Source organism: Homo sapiens, chromosome 14, assembly GCF_000001405.40.
Source record: "Homo sapiens chromosome 14, GRCh38.p14 Primary Assembly".
Lineage (NCBI taxonomy): Eukaryota > Metazoa > Chordata > Mammalia > Primates > Hominidae > Homo > Homo sapiens.
Window position 1 is genome coordinate 55879345 of NC_000014.9, and position 24591 is coordinate 55903935.

The 24591-nt window shown below is 42.3% G+C and overlaps 1 long non-coding RNA gene across 1 annotated transcript; it reads right to left on the minus strand.

Annotated features, from left to right (window-relative positions):
• Positions 1 to 20066: 20066 nt before the first annotated feature.
• Positions 20067 to 21457, minus strand: LOC105370511 (uncharacterized). Its single transcript, XR_943896.3, has 3 exons — positions 21433 to 21457; positions 20233 to 20316; positions 20067 to 20150 (listed from the first exon to the last, which is right to left on the minus strand). It is a non-coding gene; the product is annotated as an uncharacterized LOC105370511 (long non-coding RNA).
• Positions 21458 to 24591: the final 3134 nt, after the last annotated feature.

Consider the following 24591-nt stretch of genomic DNA (forward strand, 5'->3'; position numbering starts at 1 on the left):
CTCCTGCTATGGCAGGGCTTAACCCTTTAGTTGGTGGATCTTGGGTAGGTCTAGGGGCTTCAAGGCAGCTGGGGCAGCAGCATGACACGTGCTGCTGCCTTGAGGCTGACCATCAGCTCCAGGGAGTGGAGCTTGCAGATTGCTCAGGCCATATGCAGGTGGATTTCCCTGGTAAGTGCCAAAGTCATGGATCTACCACTCGGCTATGAGGCTCTCCTGGCCTGGGCTGGGAGCACCTGGCACAGTGCCTACACTTGGTGGGTGCTTAATTAACGTTTGATCATTGCATTCATTATCTGAGAGAACTTGGTGAGAAAATCTAACTTGAAAGTGCTTTTTCATCTGCAGAGGTGCTTTTATCACTGGCATAGTGAGGGTTTTCTCATAATAGCAGCATGCTAGGTCCAGTGCTTTATTTAAGTCACCAGGAGAGGGTAACAATAAAGTCTGCATGGGCCAGATCCAGGTTTTGTGGAGCCTGAACTGCTTACAATTTGGGTGGTCCTCTTTGAGAGAATGAATACAAAATTAGTCAGAGAGTCTAGAAAGAGGCCTGGGTACATAAGAAACCTGGAAGCCTGAGCTTCAGTGGTTTGACAGTGAATCTACTTCCAGGTCTGGGTGTGCTGACAGCCTTGGGATTTGCCTTTATCAGGCAACTTCTGGGGTGGGCTTGCTGAGGTCCTGTTTGCTGGAGGAGGCAGTACGCCCTGAGAACTATCTTGTCCTAAGGAATGGTTGAGGCTACTAATAACAATGCCTCAGTCATCATAGGATCAAGTCTGAGAAGAGCGCGAGGTCTTCTCAGAGCTGCTTTCTCTCAAGCTCTGTAAGATACAGCAGCCCAGAGACAAAAGCATAGAAGACATGAGCGGCATCTTCTTGCCTCTATTTTGAAGTGGGCTGCAATGCCGGAGCATGCTGGTGTCACACAAAGGTGGGGTGGGGACAGCTTGATGCTGGCTGCAGAGACCACCATCTGGGTATCTTCCTGCCCTCCCAGGCAGCAGTGAAGGTTAGGAGACTTTAGTATAAAAGCCAAAATTGACAAGTGAGATCTAATTAAACTAAAGAGCTTCTGCACAGCAAAATAAACTACCATCAAAGTGAACAGACAACCTACAGAGTGGGAGAAAATTTTTGCAATCTATCCATCTGACGAAGGTCTAATATCCAGAATCTATAAGGAACTTAAATATACAAAAATAAAACAATCCCATTAAAAACTGAGCAATTGACATAAACAGATACTTCTCAAAAGAAGACATTCATGCGGCCAACAAACATGAAAAAAAGCTCATTATCACTGGTCATTAGAGAAATGCAAATCAAAACCATGATGAGATACCATCTCATGCCAGCCATAATGGTGCTTATTAAAAAGCCGAGAAATAACAGATGCTGGTGAGGTTGCAGAGGAACAGGAAGGCTTTTACGCTGTTGGTAGGAATGTAAATTCATTCAACGTTGTGGAAGACAGTGTGGTGATTCCTCAAGGATCTAGAACCAGAAATATCATTTGACCTGGCAGTCCCATAACTGGGTATATACCCAAAGGAATATAACTCATTCTCTTATAAAAATACATGCACACGTATGTTCACTGAAGTACTATTCACAATAGCAAAGACATGGAGTCAACCCAAATGCCCATCAATGATAGATTGGATAAAGAAAATTTGGTACATATACACCATGGAATACTATGCAGCCACAAACAGGAATGGGATCATGTCCTTTGTAGAGACATGGATGGAGCTGGTAGCCATTATCCTCAGCAAACTAATGCAGGAACAGAAAATCAAACACCATATGTTCTCACTTATAAGTGGGAGCTGAACAATGAGAACACATGGACACGGGAGGGGAACAACACACACACTGGGGCCTGTGGGGTGGAGGCTGCAGGGAGGGAGAGCATCAGAAAAAATAGCTAATGCATGCAGGGCTTAATACCTAGGTGATGGGTTGATAGGTGCAGCAAACCACCATGGCACACATTTACCTATGTAACAACCTGCACATCCTACACATGAAACTCAGAACTTTAAAGAATGATAGTTGTCCTTTGAGGGGCACATACGTGCTGGGGAACTTTATGTGCATTCTCTCTAATTCTTACAGGAACCCTGCGAGGTAAATATCATTAACCGTGTTTCCAGGTGTAATAGAATGTCAAATTTGCTCACAGAACGTGCAGACGTGCAAAGACAACGTAGACTCTATTTTCTCTAGCTGACTTGAACCTTCTTATGAGTCCACACCCTGCTGGGTAGCACAAAACTGACTCTTGCCAATTAACAGTGTCTCAATGTCTTCTGGGTTATAGCCTCTTTCCTATTTAAATAGTCAAGGTTTCCTAAGTTAAATTCCCTATCAGGGCTGTTTTCATTTGTCTTTTAATTAGTCTCTTTTGGATGACTCATTCTCCCTTGATGATCCCATTCTCTTGCAGCATTCCTTACTCCCTGCTTCTTGCCCACAGATGGTCCTGAGTGTTTGTAGGACTCACTGGAATTCCACAGGGTCAGGGATGGGATTTCTGGACTCTCACTGCTCTCTACCAGGGGAGGCTGGTCTGGTGTACACCAGGTCTGAGTGGCCAGGGGAGGAAAATGGACCCACTGGTCTTCGAGGGTGACAGGTGCCTGGAACTGCCAGGCTCTGGTCGGCTGTCCTGTAGTGAAGTCTGCACGAGGCAATGACTCAGCACCTTCCTGTCCTGTCTCTGTGCTGGGGCACATGGAAACTTGTGGATCCCCATATGTCATGTACCAGCCACGGGGATCCTCATGCCTTGGGCAGCGGGGGATCACACTGGCTTGCCACTCTCCCAGTCCCTCTCTTACCATGATCCCTGGGGCTGGAAGGGGTCACGCTTCCACTACCTCCATGTCCCCTGCAGATTCTCTCCAACTTGGCATGCATGACAACTCTGTGATACAGCTCAGTGGCCTTGTAACTTTTTTTCTGTCTGTGTCCTCAAAACCTTCTAAAAAGCTACAATCTTCTTTAAAGATGCTTTTTATCTAAATTATACTAGATGCCTTTTATCTAAATTAAATAGTTGCAAAGGATGTAATTATTGGTATCTTGCAAATATTGATATTTTAGGGTACAACTCTTATATCACTCTTTTAAACTTATCCAATAGAATCTAAATACCATAGTGATTTAATACCCATGGTTCAAAAAACACATGAACAAGCTCTTTTTTATCAGTTGGAAGTTACATAATGTTTCTCTCTTTCCTTGAAATTGTATTTCCATTTCATTTCTGCAGAACTTTATCCTAACATGATATATTTTTATGCTTGAAAGTCTTTTATGAATTACCCTATCATTCTTCTCAAAAAAATTTGTATATAAGTTGAACATTTTCAATTGTTTTTTTTTGTCACCACAGCACTGTCTTAGAAAATTTATTATGGATTAAGTTCTAATTAAAATTATTTTTGATACATAGTTGATCAAAGTTATACATATATAGGTACACACACATACATACTATGCATTTTATGGTTAATTATTTAAGCATAGGTTTTGCACCCTGGGACAATGCTTCTTGGTGAAATTGGAGGTGAGTGCCTTTCTCTGTAGAGTCAGGGAAGGGCACTAGTGTAGGGGGAGATAGGAAAGGGTCACAGACACACACTGCAGGTGGAAGAGGACATTGATTTCCTTATAATGATCTGGACCCAGAGGTGCCTCGGTAAGCAGGAAGTTTCTGGAAGTCTGAAGACCACTCTGCCCCAACCCTGGCTCCCCAGGTATTCATAAGGGAGTGGCCACACTAGTTCCACCCTTTCCTTCTCTGGGACAATAAACCTCACGTAAATGCACAGGCTTAGACAACAGCAAGTAAATACAAATAAGGATCAGTGCTTTATAAACGTCAATATATTACCTGTACCACAGAGGTAAGGAAATTAGGATGTGGAGATGTTAAAAGAGCTTGTCTACATATTAAGCCAGTTGGTGGCAAAGCAGAGATTTGAAATCAGATTGGAATCCTTCCTCTCTACAGCACTGTGATTTCAAAGTGAGCCCATGGATAGCTGCATCAGCATCAAGTCTCTTTTCAAAATGATTTAAAATTCCTGGGCGCCACCTTTAAAATTCCACACGCCTCCAGTGTGTCTGCAGGTGGGGCCTGAACATTTATTTCTTTAAGAGCTCCCCTAAATGATTCTGAAGCTGGGCCAGGGTTGAGGCACGAGAGCCTACATTTGTTCACGAGCACAGAGGACACCCTGCTCCCAGATGCAGCATTCAAGACCCAGGTGGGAGGAACTTGGCAGGAGATAGAAGCTGGAGGTCTCCAGAGGGGCACCTTCTTGGTTTTTTTTTTTTTTTTTTTTTTTGAGATGGAGTCTCGCTCTTTCACCCAGGCTGGAGGGCAGTGAGGCAATCTCGATTCATTGCAATCTCTGCCTCCCGGGTTCAAGCGATTCTTGTGCCTCAGCCTCTTGAGTAGCTGGGATTACAGGTGCACACCACCAAGCCCAGTTAATTTTCTGTATTTTTAGTAGAGATGGGGTTTCGCCATGTTGGCCAGGCAGGTCTCGAACTCCTGACCTCATGCGATCTGCCTGCCTTGGCCTCCCAAAGTGCTGGGACTACAGGCGTGAGCTACCGTGTCTGGGCTGTTGGTTGGTTTTGTTGTGACCATTTAGATGGCCTTGCTTTGAAGCCCAGGCTCCAAGACCTGGGAATCTTAGGTGCCAGGGGTATCAGGAGGGAGGAGGAAGCACACCTTCCTCTGGCAGCTTCTGCTCAGGGCTGCTTTTAAGGCGCCTGTTGTGGATTCCGGTGCTTTGCTTCTGATCTCTGGTGAAGATCTCTATGCTCCTGGAAAATCAGCCTGGAGCAAACTCAGGGTCTTGGGATACTGGTTGCCATCTATCTCCAATATCGTGGGGAACAGCCCATCGTGAACTGATCTCTTTGATAAACTCAGCTCAAGGACATCCTTAGTGCTTTGTCGGCAAGGCAGCCCTTTCCCCTGGGCCCTCTCTGAGCCCCTTCCATGTTGGATTTCCTCCACAGCTGTTATGACTTTGACAGTCTTGGGACTAATTCCCTATCTTGCAAGGCAGCTAAAAGGGAGGGAACACTCATTGCAGTCTGACAATCTGAGCTTTCTTCTGGGGCAGAATGACCTTAAGGAAAGTCGGGTGTCATCAACAATCACCAAATCCCAAACCCAGCTCTCCGCCTATACTCCGCTTAGAGCTGGGCTTGGGAGAACCGGGTTAATGCACACCTCTTTCTAGCAAGGAAAGATGAAAACATTTTTCCTATGCAGGAGGGCCAGAGGGTGAGTATTACAGTGGAGGGAAAGATGGTAGATCTATTTATCACTGTGTTGTCACTTGAAGGGAAAACAAGCTTTAGTCCCACTTGCCATGGGGCCCAGGTGGATGCCAATTGAGTTACTAAATTTCTATCTGAAAAATGGTGTCCAATACTAGAGCCTTCAGGGGACATCCTTAATGGGAAGCATTGGCAGAGCAATAAATATCGGGCCGCAGTTCTTGCCTGGGCATGCTGACTCCAACGCTGATGCTGCACACTTGTTTACTCATCTTTTTCTGGAGACAGTCCCCAGACTCGGGAATCTGAGGGATTGTCCCAACAATACTTTAAGCCTTCCATTAGGCCTCTGTGCCAAGCACTAATGAGGCCCAAGTCCTGCAGCAAAACTCCAGCCCCTCCTTCCTCATCAACTCAGTTTTACTCTTTCTGCCAACTCTGGCAATTGACTCATGAGAAATCCTGTTAGAGGATTTTTTTTTTCCCTCTTTAAAACCCACTCACTCCACACCTCATAAAGGTTACAGAAAGGTGCAGTAATGGTCTGGCAGACATGTACCTAGTGAGATAAATTTTCCATTGTGAAAGCATCTACTCCTCAATTTGGTTCTGATGTAGAAGGCACAAAATCCCTTACCTCACTTCCTGAAAGTTGCCAAGATGTGACATAGAAAGCGTATGAGGACCCCAGGGGATTTGGTACTGGTATCTCATTAGAGGCACTGACATTTATGATATATCAAAATTTTAGTGGGAGGTTTAAGGAAGATTCAAGATTTGGACAGTTAATGCTATGATTTCCTTAAAAGCATGAGGCACTGAGTAGCAATGGATATTTTTGATCATCCAAAAAAAATCCCCTTCTCTATGGAAACTTAAAATCTTAAGAAATAGTTTAATTTCAGCTCTTCTGTCTACAGGCAAGAGAGTAACCTCTGGCCGCAGAGAATAATCCCTGTCACTAACATCACGGAGAATTAAAGACACAGCTACTAACACCTTCTACCTCTCCAGGAGAATGGCTTTACCAAAGTCTTCCCGAATGCCCAATCAAAAGAATTTTCCCAATTTCTTTGTACCATTAGGCAGTTCTACATTTATTCAATCATTCAATCATTCAACAAACTACTGCTGTGTTGAATGAACAAAACAGGCAGGTTCTCTGGATTACAGCTGAGCAAGGGGGAATTAAGGATGAGTGGGGAGGTGAAGATCACGTAGTCCAGGGGCTTGAACCAGGACCCAGATGCTGCCAGTAGTGTAAGGAGAGGCACACAGAGTTGTGATCTGTTTTGAAAATGTAATGATAGAACTCACTGAAGAATAGGATACGAAAGGATGGACAACTGGTTTCCAACAGAAACAACCTGGGGGATCCAGGTGCATAAGATGAAGAAGAGCAGAACAGGCATACTTTTTTTCCTCCTGCAGTTCTGACCATTCTTTCCCTTTTCTTTGTGAGTTTCTTTCACTTTGTAAGTCCTTTAAACGTCGATGTTTTCAGGCAATTTATCCTTAGCCTTCTTCTCTCCCATGTGAGTTATTTCTTCCACATCCGTGGCTTCACTTACAAAGCAGATGACTCTCAAAGCCATGCAGACAGCTCAGCTCAGGCCTGTCCACTGAGTTCCACATCCATGTTGCCCACCAAACACTGGGTCTTTTCATGGGGATGTTTCTTAGGCATTTGAATTTGAACGTGTTAAAAATGGAACTCCCCTTCTCCCCCAGCCATCTTCCACTACTCACTATCTGTCTCTGCTAACTTGTCCTGCTCCTATGTTTCCTGGCTTTGGTCATTGGACCACCAGCCTGCAGGTCACCCAAATCAGCATCCTGGAAGGCATTTGAGATCCTCCTTGCCCTCTCACAGCATTCCTCTTCTCACTCTATGTTATTGACTCTCTAGCTTGTATATTTCTTGGCTCTGCCTTCTGCTCTTCATCTCCCCCTCCAGCTTCACAATTTCTGTCCTTGTCATTTCTCATCTAGGGACCACAATGTCTTCCAACTGTTCCCTCTGTCTCAGTCTTGATTCCTTTCAATCCATCCTCCATGCTGCTCCCAGAATGATCTTATTCTCCCCTCCAAAGCTGGTAGGTGGCTCACCACCTCCTTAGGAATAAAGCCCTTTGCACATTAGTTTAAAACTTCCAAAGCCCAACTCCTGCTAACAACCACAGTGTCATCTCATTTCACGCTTGATAGAAGTCATCCTTGCACCTTCCTTAATACCTATCTCATGACCTTTCTTGTGCAATGTGCCCTGGGGTTGAAAGGCCTTCTCCTCCTCTCCCTTATTCACTTGATTTGTACCCACCTTCAAATTCATTGAAATCCTTCCTTCTCTTGGAAACCTTCCCTGAGTCCTCCGGCTGACGTGGGCACCCTCTCTCTGTGTGTTCTTACCCCTTCATTAGGCATTCTGTACCCCAGGCTGTCACTGTTAATTGACTCCAGTAGGTGGCAAGTTCTGGAGAACAGGGTTTCTTTCTTATGTTCGTCTGTATACTTAGCACCAAGCACTGGATACACTGGTAACCATCAATACATTTAGCTCAATGAGTGAACAAACTGGTTTTTATGCATTTTGCAGAGAAGCTCTATGAGAAATATAGATCCTGCCAGGCACGGTGGCTGACACCTGTAATCCCAGCACTTTGGGAGGCTGAGATGGGTGGATCACCTGAGGTTGGGAGTTCGAGACCAGCCTGACCAACATGGAGAAACCCCATCTCTACTAAAAATACAAAATTAGCCAGGCATGGTGGTGCATGCCTGTAATCCCAGCTATTCAGGAGGCTGAGGCAGGAAAATTGCTTGAACATGAGAGGTAGAGGTTGCGTTGAGCTGAGATTGTGCCATTGCACTCTAGCCTGGGCAACGAGAGCAAAACTCTGTCTCAAAAAAAAAAAAAAAAAAAAAAAAATATATATATATATATATATATATATAGAGAGAGAGAGAGAGAGAGAGAGAGAGAGAGAGAGAGGGAGAGAGAGATCCATATATACAAACTATGTTTTCATCTTTTTTGTCTTGAAAAATATTATTTATTAATATCCCTTAGGCTGATTACAATAAACATACAGAAAGCCTTGACTGAGTCTCAGCTATGAAGAATAAGACGATAAAATTCACACACACTCGTTAACTAGTATCCTCTCTTAATCTTGAAATTGCATCCTATTAGACAAATGATTTATGTTTACCGTAGGAGTGTAAACAGCTCTCTAATTCATGAATATTAAGCAGCATCTGTATGTCATTTAAATAAGGGAATTACTATCCTGGGAAAGTTAGAAATGGGAAAAGTAAAAACAAAAATGAAAACAAGAAAAAAATTTGGAAGAGCTCAAAAGGTTTGTCTTACCATTGGCATAAATTATAACTCTCATGGAGCAGGAACACTGTCTGGTTCACTTGGCATTCCCAATGCCAAATGCATTGCTTAGCCCAGAATATATGAAGAAGGAAGGAAAGAGAAAAAATAGGAATAAAAGATGATGAAGACTGGATGACATGGGAGCAACAATGGGCACGTTTTAAAAATACACGTGCAGTTTGTTCTTACATGAGACATGCACAGAATTTTCAATGGAAGAGTGGTCACTCAACTTCATACTTAGCCTTTTTTTACCCACCTTTCTACTTCTGGGACAGGAAAAGCCTGAAACTATGCCTCTCAGACTTCTTAGCCAGCTGGCTTACTAGATTCTGCCAATGGGAGGTAGTGATGGGAGACTATCAGCTCCAGGCAGCAGTAGCAGCAATGGAAGCAGCATCAGTGGGCAGCAAGCGCCTCTCCTGGGTTCCTCCTCAGCAGCCAGGTGATTCCTACTGTGGCAGCCAGGAGAGTGCAGTGGACATGAGCCAGGACATCATGTCCCCCTTGCTCTTCTAAGCCCTTTCCACAGTTACTTATCTTTGAGCAATTTTGCAGTTTGGATTTTTGTGCTCCCCAATCCCTCCAACACCCCATGAACCATTTACCTGTATGAAATGCCCTCTGAAATATCTGGAATATTTTCCATTTTCTTGATTAGACACTGGCTGCTCCACAGACATCAACCACCAGACATTGACAAATGCGTAAATTAACATATCCATGTTTGGTTAAAGGTATACAAAGCCTCTTTCAACGGTAAAATGCATTTGAAACCAAATAATACATGAAATAAAGAAGCCAGTTGCTAGCAATGGGTATATTAAGTGTAATCTCTCTTTAATAGTGGGAGATTATTTGATTTTAAATCAGAAAAGGTAAAGAGATGTTAGTAGCCTCAGAGGCCTCTAGACCAGGTCATCTATCAGCCAGTTGTCTGCCTTTGGCAACCACCTCAACTCTTTCTGCCTTAGTTTCACTCTCTGTAAAATGAAAAGGGCCCAATTACAGCTCTCAGTAAGATTCTAAGACTGAAGTGTTGGGGATTTATACCTTTGAATAAAGTCTTCCTTGGACAGCTGGGAGGAAAATCCCGCAGATATAAGGAGACTCTGGGCTTGGCTAGAGCTCCCAGGTAGCCTGAACCTGATATGCATGTCTGTGGGCATCCTGTTAGCACATCAGAACGCCATTCCTTGCCAGAGGTTTGTCTTTGCTGTGCGCCCAGGAATCATTTCAAAAGCTGTGGATGCCAAGTCATTGCCGTGGCAGTGACCTCTCATGACCTTTCCCATTATACTCACAAATGCAATAAAGCAAGTTCATGCAAGGTGCGTATGATGAAATTAATAGCCCTATAACAAATACGAGGATTGTGCCAGGAATCTGTCACATTATTAAATACAAAAGAACATTTGTAGACATTGCAAGCCTGCTTTCTGCTGGTAAGTTTGCTCTGCTATATTATCATTGATTTATGTCTCTTAATGTGTTCCCCAGTCACCATATATATTTTGTTAATATTAATGTATTTATGCATCTTGAAATTGCCTAATTAATCCCTTGCTTTCCCAATGAGTTATGTAAGTTGGTGGATTTATATGATAAATATTATAATGAAGAAAACATAACAATGGAGCATAAAATACTAACTTAATTTACCATACCCATGGCAAAGAAGTTTAGACTATGATCTCCCCTCTGAAATTAACTAATATTTCTTATTGCTTTTCCTAATTAAAACTTATCTCTTTCCTATATCCTAAGGGTACCATTTTTATTCCTGAAAATATGTAGGAGCTACTATGTATCAAGTCACTGTGTTGGGGGTTTTGGAGAATATTAAACTAAGCAATAAACACACTCCCCTCCCTAGGTACTTAATTTTATTTATTTTTTAAATCTAGGACAATGTCTCTCCATTCAGCAACTATTGACATTTGGCATTTGCAGCCAGATAATTTTTTCTTTTCTTTCTTTCTTTTTTTTTTTTTTTTTTGAGATGGGGTCTTGCTCTGTCACCCAGGCTGGAGTACAGTAGCACCATCATGACTCACTGAAGCCTCGACCTCCTGGGCTCAAGCAATCCCCTCACCTCAGCCTCCTGAGTAGCTGGGACTACAGGGGTGCACCACCATGTCTGGCTAATTAAAAAAATTTTAGTAGAGATGGGGTGTTACTATGTTGTCCAGGTTGGCCAGATAATTCTTTGTTATGGGTGCAGGTTCTATGAATTGAAGGATGCTTAGTAACACCCCTGGCCTCTACTCACTATATAGCAATGCACCCCTTTCCAGTTGTGACAACCAAAAATGTCTCCAGACATTGCCAGATGTCCCACAGGGGGACAAAACGGCCACCACCACCTGCCGTTAAGAACCACTGCCCTGGTAGGAGATTTAGGCCTCCATTCAGGCCTCTAGATGGTTAGAGCTCTGCGAGGAGCTCCAGACTGAGCTCCTCACTGCTTTGGTCACCTCTGTCTACTCAGCACTTAGCACAGTGCCCGGCACATCATGGAGCCTAAATAATACTTGTCGAATGTTAGATGAATAAATACACATATCACAATGCAGAATAGGCCAATAGCGAGGTATAAATAGAACACTAGAAGAGTCCAGAAAAGGAATACACTGATACTGGAGGGATAGGGGCCCAGGAAGAAGAATTCCTGGAGGAGAGATTGTGGAAAAATGAGGTTGAGGAAGGCATCTTAAGCAGAAATGCTCTGAGAGTGGATGAGGATGAGCTGGGAGATCAGTCGACCTGGAGTGTAGGGTGGGCAGAAGATCGGTTGAAGATAGGGCAAAAAGAACTTGAACTCAGTTCATGGAAGGTCTGGACATGCAAGTTAAAACCACAGTGAAACGTCACCTCACTCCAGTAAGAATAGCTATCATCAAAAAGACAAAAGATAACAAGCATTGTCAAGGATGTGGAGTAAAGGGTACCCTTACACACTGTTGGTAGGAATATAAATTAGGACAACCATTATGGAAAATAATATAGGGTTCCTCAAAAAGAAAAAAAATGGAACTACCATATCATCCAGCAGTACAACTACTGGGTGTATATTCAAAGGAAATGAAGCCAGTATGTCAAAGTGATATCTGCACCCCTGTATTTATTGCAGCACTATTCACAATAGCCAAGATACGGAATCAACCTAAATGTCTATGTGTGAACACACATGTGAGATGATTAATGGGTATATTATTAATTGTGCTATAGTTTATAAGAGAAGAAGGTTGGAACCAACATAAATGTCCACCCTACGGAATTGGTTAGATACACAACCATAGCAAAGAATAAAGCGGCTGTTCATGTAAATATGGAATGACCACCAAGAGCTATTGTTGAATGAAAGAAGCAAAGTGCCAAACAGTGGCAAAACATGTTACCATTTTCATATCATTATGATAAAAAAATGAAGGATGAAATTTCAGAAAGTGTATTTATAGATGCCTAAAATATTTCTGGAGTGTACACAACTTGATGAAATTGGTTGCTATTGGGAAAGGAATTCAGTTGCTGGAGGTCTGGGGCAAAAGGAGAATTCTTATTATGTATATGCTTTTGAATTCTTTGAATTTAGAACTTGAAAATGTACTACCTATGCAAAGAAATTAAATTTAAAATATTAAAAGTGATTGTCCACAAATGATTTCAGTTCAATTCCTGATATGTTTCTAGGTATAACAACAACAAGAACCAACAACCTCAAGCAAACGTGTTATTTATAACCCAAGCTGCCTTCTAAGGGAAGTCATTGCCCATGGAGAGTGAGTCTCCTTGTTCTGCTGAGCATAGCAATTGTTTCTACACGTGAATTTGGGGGTAGGTGCAGAATTTCTCTGCATAAGAAAGAGATTCTTCCCAGGAGGCGGCGGTTGCTGTAAGCTGAGATCCCGCCATTGCACTCCAGCCTGGGAGACAAGAGCAAAACTCCGTCTAAAAAAAAAAAAAAAGAGGTTCTTAGGTTAATTTAAGGGAGAATAAGTGAGGAGGAAATTTGGGATGGGAGAGAGTAGAAGGAGATGTGATGAGAGTGAAAGGCTGGGTTTGCTACATGGGACAGAGATAGACTATAAAAAACTGAAGACCAGAGCAACCAGAATGAACTAGACAGAATTGTATATTGTTTTTCTTGGGTGCATAATGCGATGTTGCTTCGCTGTGATCCTCAAATCTTAATTATGGTACATGCAACAGTTCTGAACATCTTTCAAAGGGTTGTTGGGCAGACCAAATGCATCATTATACATAGGTGCTTTGAATAGTGCTTGATATATAGTAAGTACTCAATGTCTTAGTTATTAATAATAATTATTACTATTTGAACTTGTTTTGAAGGTGAGGATTTAGGAGAGTGGATACTTAGTTTGGGTCAATTCCAGAGTAGAGATCAATGGACAAGATGCAGAGTGAAAAACAAAATTACAGCAGAAGCTGGGAATTGGAGGTCAAAGATGATATAAGCATAAATATTTGAGGATCTGAGGAATTTTGAGGAGGGAGCTTAGGGCTTTGGGCTTTGATAAGAGGGCATGAATTCATCTTACCTAGATCTTAAGTGTCTGTGAAATCCCAGCTAACATCTGAGTTACAGAGCTAACAAGCACCCCAAGTTCCTATGGCTCTGATTACAAACGGACAGCAAAAATGTTCCCATATGCCCTGACTGAAACTCAGCACCTGCGTGATCCCGAAGTGGACACTGAGGAGGCTGTCAGGGAAGAATCTGATATTGAAATGAAGGTCATTGCTGCCCATCTAACATTTTATAGCTAGTTTTGTAATATGGTCTATCATAATGAAAACCAATAGCACACTTACAGACTGTCATTATCCAAATTGTATAGAGATTGTTACTATGGTTTTGTAGGTTACAACAGTGAATGTAGCTCCTGGAGGAGCCCACCCAGACATATCCTGCACTTCTGGGTGTCTGTTGGATATAGAAAGTAGAGGTCCGATTAGCCTCAAGGTCATTGCTGAGACCAGAGTTTGCTGGGATTTGATGCGGTTATTTACAATGTTGTCTTCTAGGAGGTAGTGCCTTTAGGGAATTACGTAACACCACCAGCAGCTGTTGTGTAGATTTAAACTGAAATTGGGTTATAAGAAAATGGTTTTGGGAGTCAAAACACTTGGTGTTTCTTCCTGTCTCAATTATCTGATTGTTGTCATTAGAGCCCCCAAATTATTTAACTTAACTTTGTTCCTACAGCAGGTTTTGTGTCGTGGGAGGAATTTTTTAAAGCAAGAGTAACTGATTATTCATATTTATTTCCCTAGGATATAATGTTACGTATGAGGGCAGCCTGAAATGATGATTTGGAATCAGAAAGCCTATGTTTGAGGGCTGGCTGTACCACTTAGCTGGCAAATTTGGGCTGTCCCATGAATCCCCACACACAGGATTTTCCTTTTTAAAGGTTTGCATTCTCTTTGTAAATGCTCATACCTCTGGGAAAGTGCCGTGCCTGAACCCTCCCACCTTCTCTATCTATCCATCTATGTTTATGTATCTATGTATCTACCTACCTACCTACCTACCTACCTATCATCTATCTCTAGCTAAGCAATCTATCCTTTACTGTTCATTAAATTCTTTTGTAAAAGCAATATCTGAGTAAGGAGGGCAACCAGAAGTGGTTGAGGCTGAACAGAACATTTCAGAGTCTTTCTGCCCTTGCCCTGGCTGGTGCTGATCTCCTGGTTTTCATACACAGGCTCTGGCCCTCCTTTCTAAACAAGGCATATCCTGGCAGCGGGAGAGCGTGGTAAGGAGATCTCAGTGGCATTGGCTGCTTACTTTAGAACTGAGCCTGTGCATTACAGACTGGGCAAGCTCATCTTGGATGGATCCCTGATCCATCCTGGAACACATCCACTATGGCAACCTCATTCCATTTCACGTTCCAGGCATTTGTCAGAATGAACTCATAGGCTCCAAGATGGATCAGTGCCTCTGCTGGAGCCGCGAAATCTGACAGTTGGCAGCCTCCTTGCAAAGAGGGTCTCAGCAAGTCTGCTTAAACTGGGTGATTAAGCTCTCGGTTGTTCCCTGCTTTGGGCTAGTTCGTGTGCACTGGGTGGCCTGCCTAGCAGATTCATGCATTTGTTAATTCCACATGTATTAAGCACCCTCTGTGAGCTAGGTATTCTGAGCCACTGAATATAGAAAGGTGCCCAAGACCTCCTTGATCATCCTCATTCAGATGCAGTAGCTCTGCACTCATCTAGAGGTGGGTCTGAAACCTTCGTAACTTTTCAGGGCTACCCAGCTTAATACCAACATTAGTTAATTTAAAGTCCATGGAGAATTTCTTAAAATCCACTGTCTTTATATCATACTGTGTGTTAAATTTAGCTAAGGCTGACAAAGCAGCACCAGCCACGAAGTGAGGATGGGGCAGAGACAGTCATTGTGCACTGCCTTTTGCCGTGCGGGGGCCAAATCCTTTACATTGATTGTCTCACTGGAACCTTTATAGAACTCCACCAAGCAGACAAAGTAACCCCCATGTAGATGAGGACATTGAGTCTCAACAGTTATTTGCCTAAGCTCCTGTGGCTCTGTGTAGTGAGGATGAGGCTATGATGTGTGGAATCTGGGATGGTCTGATTTTCAAAGCCTAAATTTGCTCCTCAAGCTGCTTTCAAGAGCTGCTTGGAAGCAAACCTTTGTCCTCTGTGTGCCCCTGGCACTGGGCTTAATGAATGAATGAGTGAATGGTGAACCACTGATGGATGGGTTGCATCTTTGTTCACAATTTTTTTTTTTGAGACGGAGTCTCATTCTGTTGCCCAGGATGGAGTGCAGTGGCACAATCTCGGCTCACTGCAACCTCCACCTCCCAGGTTCAAGTGATTACTCCCACCTCAGCCTCCTGAGTAGCTGGGATTACAGGCATGCACAACCATGCCTGGCTAAGTTTTGTATTTTTAGTAGAGATGGGGTTTCACCATGTTGGCCAGGATGGTCTCGATCTCTTGATCTCAAGTGATCCTTCTGCCTCGGCCTACGAGAGTGCTGGGATTATAGGCGTGAGCCACTGTGCCTGGCCCACAAATGTGTGTTTGATGAGTTCTTGACGCTGGCATCTGCACAAACGGGATGGATGGAGACTCAGTTTTTGGGGTCATATCAATGAAAAGCAGGGATCACATTTTCTGTTTCTTTGATATTCTATATTCTGTTGATGCTATCTCAATACCTGTTAATACTCTTGCTGCCTGAACTCCTACCACTATTAGAAAGAGCTCAGGTCTCCGAAAGATCACACCACATCGGGTGAGACCCAGTGGAGGTTTTGAGCATTTGCTCAACTAGTGGAGGAATACTTCAGACTTTCTTCCTTTATCTGCGTCATCTTTACTGTCTGACAGAATTGAGAGATTACAAGGTCATTTCTAACTGTTTCTGGGACTTACTGCTGCTTCCTTCTCCACAGCAATTTAAAATCTGTCTATTCACACACACACACACACACACACACACACACCCCCACACCTTGTCTACAAACAAAAGTTTGTTTGCTCTATGTAGAAAAATGCCACCAGAGGGCTAATTTGGCAGCTTTGTTGATTACCCATTGTAATGAGCCTTATTACATAATTAAAAGAATTTTTTTCTTAAGTGCATTTCGCTACTAATTAACATTTTACACATTCTGCAGTGGACACTTTAAGTTGAATCAGAGACATAATTATGTCATTTCTATGCAAAGAGCAGCTTATGAATTTTTAATTAATATTAAATCTGTTGATTAAAGGCTAATTCATAAGTAAACATATTACAGCTCACCACGGATTGCTCTCTAGAAGCTTGCCTTTGTAATTTCTGTGGTCCCTTGTCCCTTGCTAAGTGTCGAGGACTAAAGAAAAGCTGCCCACACAGATTCCAGGAACAAAAGTAATCCATGTCGAACTCTGTCTGAATTTTTAACTACCAGTGAGCTTTCTGTGTTCCAGTTGCTTTTAAAGTTGGAAGCACTTGGAGGGAGGGTTCAAGTAGGCAATGGAAAGCAAGTTGGCCTCACTTGCGCTTTATTTTCTTAAGCACCAAACTGGAGAATTGTACCCTTATGATGCACAAGCAGCTTTGCTTCCTGTGGCCACATCAGCCTGGGTGCACTGAGGAATTGGAGGTTCGTATTGTGTCTGGGGCAGCCTCTCCTAGGAAAATCACTGGAACCTCAGCCAGCCCTCGGAGGGGGAGGAGTAAGCTCCTAGGTGCTCCTGAAGGAAAGCTGTCTTCTCAGCTACGGATATGGTTTGGCTCTGTGTCCTCACCTGAACCTCATCTTGAATTGTAGCTCCCATAATTCCCACGTGTTGTGGGAGGGACCCAGTGGGAGATAATTGAATCACGGGGCCAGTTTCCCCCATATTGTTCTCATGGTAGTGAATGAGTCTCACAAGATCTGCGTTTTCTGAGGGGTTTCCCCTTCCACTTGGCTCTCATTCTCTCTCCTGCCACCCTGTGAAGAGGTGGCTTCTGCCATGATTGTGAGGCCTCCCCACCTACGTGGAACTGTGAGTCCATTAAACCTCTTTTTCTTTATAACTTACCCAGTCTTGGGTGTGTGTTTATCAGCAGTGTGAAAACGGACTAATACAGCTACTTTGGGGAGCATTTCCACTGCCCCTTCCTTTTGGGTCCACCTCATGCCGGGGGTTCTGGCTGCCAATGCCCTGGCCCTGGTCCTGGCTGCACTCACACAGGCTATGAATGTTGCACGTCTTACACGCTAGATGGCACAGAAATGGCCATCCTTCTCCTCAACAGTCAGCTGGCAAAACTTTTGAGGCCCTCCTTCCTTAGTCGCACCTTATTTGAGGCCACAAAACTGTTTTGCTTCATAATCCTGGTTTCTATTACACTTCTACCAGGCTGTCTGCCTTGGAGTTGGCATCCTTGTTTTAAGGCACTTGCTATTACTTGTAGATTGCTTCTCATTTCTCCTTCCTAAAGTTTACTTTAAGTAGCAAGTTTTTATTAGTTATTTCTGTGGAAGGCATAACAAAATCTTCAATGTAAATTCTATAAATTTCTACCTGACCATTTTACTCATTTACCATGGATTAGCTTTGATCTGTGCCTTGGCCTGGCAGTTCTTTCTGTAACCTGAGCTCCCTGTCCTATATCCACAGACTCACAGACTGTGTAAGAGCGTGTGTATGTGTGTGTGTGTGTGTGTTTTGCTTTCCTTGGTGGTAGGAGTCACTTCTGCTACTAGGAGGGTCCATGCTGAGAATGATTGTGTGGGACTGTGTTGCTTTCTACATCTCTGTTTAACAAATCCACCCTCCTCACACAATCTCATTGTTGACAACATTAGCACACAATATTATGTCATGTATTTGTATGTATTTAGTAAAGTTGTCCACATCTATCACCTCATTTGATCCTCATAATTCCCATGTAAGGGTAGAAAGTATTGTTATTCTGATTTTATCCAAAGGTAACTATGTCACAGAAAGGATAGTTGACTTGCCCATTGTCCTACAGCCGCTTACTTGTGAAGGCAGGAACAGACTCTTGTCCTTAACTGTTACTTCATTGTTGCTCTCAATCATATTATCCCAGAAACCCCTACCCTCAACCCCTCCATACCCGTATTCCCATCTGGTGCGAAGGAAATATGGAAAAGCTTAACCATAAGTCTTATGCTCTTGATCTCCCAATACTTCTCCAACTTAGTTGATCAATTTTTGGGATAAAGGCTTCTTATGACTGAAGTGCAAACATATCAGAACTAATACTGTACCATACCATACCATACCATACCATACCATACCATACCATACCATACCATACCATACCATATTCATATCATCAAAGTCATTTACCCAGAGTGATTGAGTTTAGTGGTTTCTTTCCCAAAAGCATATTTTTCTAGATGTGAAAAAATCACATTGGCCTGAGTCCTACAGATTTGAGGATCCAAGATAGCTCTTCATGGTGGAGACAGCTTGTAACTGATCACTGGGGGCCATGAGGTTCTAGCCTGGCATAAGCTGGTTACGGAGCTGACGACTTGATCTTGAAGGGACGTTGCTGGCAACGAAGGCTCTGCTTGAGACCCAGTGACAGATGTGGGGGGCCAGACATTCTTTTATGCTGCCCTAGTCATGTACTATGATTCTTCTTCATTCCTTTCCTTAACTTTCAGACAAAATGTATCTCTAGATCCTGAGTCTAAGGGCCAAAGCTTTGTCATTAAAACTAGAATCCCAGCTTCGGCCTGAGGAAATCAGGCCACTCTGGCCTTATGTCTAGGAAATGATGCTGTCCCTCAGCCCTGTCTGGATTTTGTGATGCTGATCAAGTTACTGCAGTAAGAGGTCTCTTCATTCAAAAACAATTCTTAGCCCTCTGATCTGCTGTCCTGCCAGCTGCCACATTAGAGGCTCCTATGCTGATCCTCACACCTGGACTTCTTGGTTTGAGGATGTCACTTCCCCATAGATCATGACTATTTACCCGTGCTACTTCCTTCTCTCCCCTCATTTCCTTTCAAGCCATGGACTGCCCAAGATGAGGACCTCAGAGTGGCTCAATCCAAACATTTCTATAAAATTCTAACAATTTCAACAGGGAAAGACATTGTTGAAAGTTTTTTCTTTCAACATATACAGAGATCAGATGTGGCCATATACTGTGCTATTAGTTTCCATTTGACTTTACAAAAAAATCTGGGTACACTGCTTTTTTAGACTCTTTCATAGCATCAAAGTTCTACAGGCATAGGGCCTGAAAATCACTATATGGTATACAATTGCTTATGCAGTGAATGAATGAATGAACCTGAAGTCTACAAATTTCAGCTCCTCAGGGCCCTAGTGACCCGCCCTCCCCTCCCTTACTCTTTCCTCTGTACTGGCACACTCAATGCTTCTCCAATGCACCCAACCTCTATCAGCCCAAGATCTTCCTATACACACTTAACCCCCTGGAAAAGAGCCTAATCCAGAGGTCCAGGATGGAGTTTCTTCAGCCATCTGCAACTTACCCTGACCAGAGCTGCCCTTGGCAATGGGGACGGAGTTTAGGCCTTGGCAAAAAGCCCAGCTATCAACACTCCAGCCCCAGCTTAGGCCCAGAAAGAACAGAGGAGAGTTGTTGTAGGGCCTCAGAAGACTCTTCAACCCAACCCTGTACTTTCTCTGAAAGACAGCATGGATAAGGAAGTAACCCAGAAATCTACAGAGGGAAGAGTCTTAAAGGTTTACCAGGTAAGATTGGAAGAAAACTCTAAGCTCTTCTAGAATAGAGCCCAGTGTTCCTCATAGACTTAGCATAGAACCAAACCTAGTGAGAATGATCTGGTGTTATTTTAATCCACTCTCTTACCTTTTGTCTCACTAGTCACTAGCCTCCAGCACTGACTTCACATTAATTCTTCTAAAACATTTTCCTCCTTGTCCACGATTCAACCTGCATTTATATTCAGGATCAATTGCAAAGCTCAGCAGAGCCCACCTTTCTTCTCACCTTTCATTGGATTACCTGGTCTTACCGGAGGCAATTCTGCAGCTCTGATTCACATCCCGGTGTGGGTCTGACCACTCAGACATCTGCAGCTAATCAGGTCACTGGTGATCTAGTAGAGAAGCGAATTAGTTAGGGAGGGCTGAGCTGCTGTAACAAGATCCAGCAAAAATGTGTGGGTTCAGGAACATAGAAATTTATTTATCTTTCACATCCAGGGAAATATTCCAAGTCAGTGGTTGACTCTCCTCATTATAGTCATGTGTTGCTCAGCACTGGGGAAATGCCTCCTTAGGTGACTTCTTTGTTGGAGAACATCATAGAGTGTACTTATAAAAACCTAGATGGTATAGCGTACTACATACCTAGGTTATCTGGTCTAGCACATTGCTTCTAGGCTACAAACCTGTATAGCATGTTACTATCCTGAATATTGTAGGCAACTGTAACACAATGGTAAGTATATATCTAAGCACATCTAAATATAGGAAAGGTACAGTGAAAACACTGTATTAAAAGATAAAAAATGGCACACCTGTAGAGGGCACTTACCGTGAATGGAGTTTGCAGGACTGGAAGTTGCTCTGAGTGAACCAGCGAGTGCATGATGAGTGACTCTGCAGGCCTAGGACATTACCCTATACTACTGTGGACTATAAACACTGTACACTTGGGCTACACTAAATTTATAAAGGTATATTTTTTCTCTAATAAGTTTATTTTAACTTTTTAACTTTATAATATTTTTAATTTTCAATACCTTTTTGGCCCTTTATAATACTTAGCTTAAAACAGACACATTGTACAACTGTATAACAATATTTTCACTCTTTGTATCTTTATCCTATAAGTTCTTTTCTATTTTAAAAATTTTGTTTCTGCTTTTTACTTTGTAAAATTTTGAAATTAAAAAACGAAGACACAAACACACACATTAACCTAGGCCTGTACAAGGCTAGGATCATCAATATCACTGTCTTCCACCTCTGCGTCTTGTCCAGTGGAGGGTCTTCAGGGCAATAATACATAGAACTGTCATTCCCTATGACAACAATGCCTTCTTCTGGAACACTTCCTGAAGGGCCTGCCTGAGACTGTTTTATAGTTAACTTATTTTTTTTTAATAAGTAGGAGTACACTCTAATGATAAAATGTATAGTAAACACATAAGCCAGCAACATAGTCATTTATTATCATTATCAAGTATTAGGTACTGTATGCAACCTACCAGGCAGTAGGTTTGTGTACACCAGCATCACCATAAACAAGTGAGTAAGGCATTGCACTATGACTTTACAATGGCTACATCACTAGGCAACAGGAATTTTTTTAGCTCCATTATATTCTTATGTGACTACTGTTGTATATGTGGTCTGTGTTGATCAACATGTTATTATGCAGTGTATGACTGCATTTAGGGTCCCAGGCTGATGACAGCTCTGCCATCATCAACACCTGACTTCCGAGGTCACTTTGCTCTTTGCCTTTCCCACCACAAAAAAGAAAGCATAGGAGAGGTATAGCCTGATATTGAGCCTCCACAGCTTAGAAGTTACCCACATCACTTCCACTCGCATTTTGTAGTCCATTAGTCACACCTCTAAAACTGCAAAGCAGGTTGGGAAATGCAGTCCAGTTACTCGCCCAGTCACATACAATGAGAGGAATTGGGTTTTGTAAACAGCTAGCAATCTCTGCCACAAGGAAGGAGAACACACACACATTGGAGACTGCAGATCACATGTTTGCAACATGAACCAAGGGAAGAGCAATTCTCAGTAGTGGCAAGCTGTGAAGGAGATCAATTTCCAAAGACTCTAGGTACATATTTCTCTCTTATTGTGGTATTGAGGGATAGAGTTAACAGAGGAGATTTGAGGTTTGGGCACAGGCATGCATGCATGTATGCATCCATCCGTCCATCCACGTATCCATTCTTACATTCAGTTAATTCTTTTGGAATGACATTAATGGAAACAGGCCAACAGTGTGTTGGGGCAGAAGTGCAAATGAGCTTGGCTGGAATGCAGGGCCCACGTTAGAGGTGTAAGTTGGAAAAGACACTTTCGAGGCTGATGGCATAGGGAGAAGAGACAGAAGATCAGGACCACGATAGAAATTAGTTTCCATGACAGAGAAGAGGAAACTTCTGTGTCATTGAGCTAGCCACTTAGTGTAGAATAATAGCAGGGAGAGATCAGAGAAATAGTAGAAAGAGATCAGAGGACAGGATGGAAGGCAATTGCCAAAAAAATTAGAGATAAGGTAATGAGTCCTGGATTAAGAATAGAACTATAAACATAAAAAGGAAAGAAAATGAGCTGGACATGGTAATCGATCTGACATGAGACATGAGAAAAACGAATTTCTGTGCCTGTCATATCTGATGCCATTGCCAGATGAAGAAACTGGGAGAAGAGGGTGGTGAAAAAGTGCTAAGTTTTCATATCCAAGTAAAGATATCCCATGGACAACTGGAATATAAAACTCAACAAAGAATGAGAAATTATGGCTAATAGTTAGAGGCTTGGGAGACATCTTCATATGAGCAATGTTGACATTTGTAGTGGGTAAATTAGGAATTGGTATAAAGATAGAAAAGAATAATTTGTCTTAGGATAGAATCTGCTGTGATATACAAAATCAGGGATATTTTTGTTTCTGTGGAGATATTACTACAATGGTTTTGCTCGGGGAATCCTGACCCCTGGAAAGCAGCAAGAAGCACATGCAGTGACATATTCCATTTTTATTGTCTCTTTTACACGTGGACACAAATGTCTTCTTAATTGAATGTCCTCATTTGTCTAAATTCTGGGAGAAAGGTTGGAGGGAGATAAAACCCAGGGAGGTGAAGTCATTTGCTTTTAGTTGCACGAGTTAATGGCTGTAGTAGTAATATAACTCGAGACCATATCCATTAGGACAGTATTCCCTGAGTCTGAGAATCGATAATCTATGGTTTCATTAAAGCAAAAGCATGCTGCTTCAAGAGAAAAGCGTGTCACTGTATTTCCTGGCATCATAAAAGTTATCTTAATATTGAAATTTTATCCCTATTGTTCAGAGAGTCATGCTTTGTATGTACTGTTGAGTGTTTGAATCCTGAAAGCTAGCCCCAAGGAACCCTTGATGCGGCTGGATTTGGCTATTTTAGTCTCCAGTCAGGCTTCCATTCATTTCATCTCTGAAATCTAATGATCTCATCTAATAAAATTATAAAAGAGTCTAAACTGCTCAGGACTTAATCAGCTTAGTCCAAGAGAATTAAATCAAAGCCCTAGGTGTGTACACTTCATCCCTCAGATGAAATCTCACCCTGGGAGACAATCTTATTATTTGGTTACTTATTATTTGGGAGGCTGAAAGATTGGGAGGAGAATGCATGAATTTAAAAAGATATGCCATTAACCTAACAGGATGGAGGCAGCTTTGTGGCTTTTGTAGTGAAGCATAGTGTAGAGGGTAGGGGTTTGGGCTGTAGACAGATCTCTCAGATTCATTTCACATGCTGCCACTTATTAGTGATGTGACATTGGGAATTACTGAGCCTTGGATTCACCGTCAATTGAAATGAATTGAGTTGAATTGAATTGAGATAATAGAACTAACCTTGTAAAGTTATTGTAAGGATTGATGGAGATTATACATATAAACACATGTATATATATTCCAGCAGTATGTTTTTAAAAATACATAAATACACATATGTGTGTGTGTGTGTATATATATATCTATATTTATCCTACAGTGTGTATGTGTATTCTAGCTGTGCCTGTCCTAGAAATACAGGTTGTCATTGTTATTATAATCACTAATTATTATACATATTAAATATTGTATAATCACTTGTGATTACATATATTAGAATATTGGATGTATTATAATCACTAATTATTACATATATTAATGTATTGTTTTTGATTAGTACACCATTAAGTATGTAATTATTACTTTAAAAAAACAGCAGTAGGCCCAAAGAATGGGGAAAAGGCTACAGAACACAGTGAGGAGATACATTTGTTCAGCCTGCATCATGACAGACTTCAGGAAGCGAGAGAGAGAAATGTAGGGTTCACACATTGCCTTCTTTGAAGAGGCTTAGTATGAAGAACACAGCTATGGTGATGGTTTCTAAAGAGTAAACTTCACTGAGTGTGGCCCTGAGAAAGCTTCTGGGGACAGTCCATTTCATGCCTTATTCCAAGTGTGGAATAGAACACATCTCTTTGAACTGAAGTAGGATGAACCCAACATCATGAAATCCCAGAGATTCTTTTGCTCACTGTGGTGTGGGGAAAGCTTGGTAGCATCAGCCTTAGGATGGGCAAGTTACTCTGATTCCTTTTTAACAAAAGCAAAGTTCTCAATGGAATTTTCTATGACT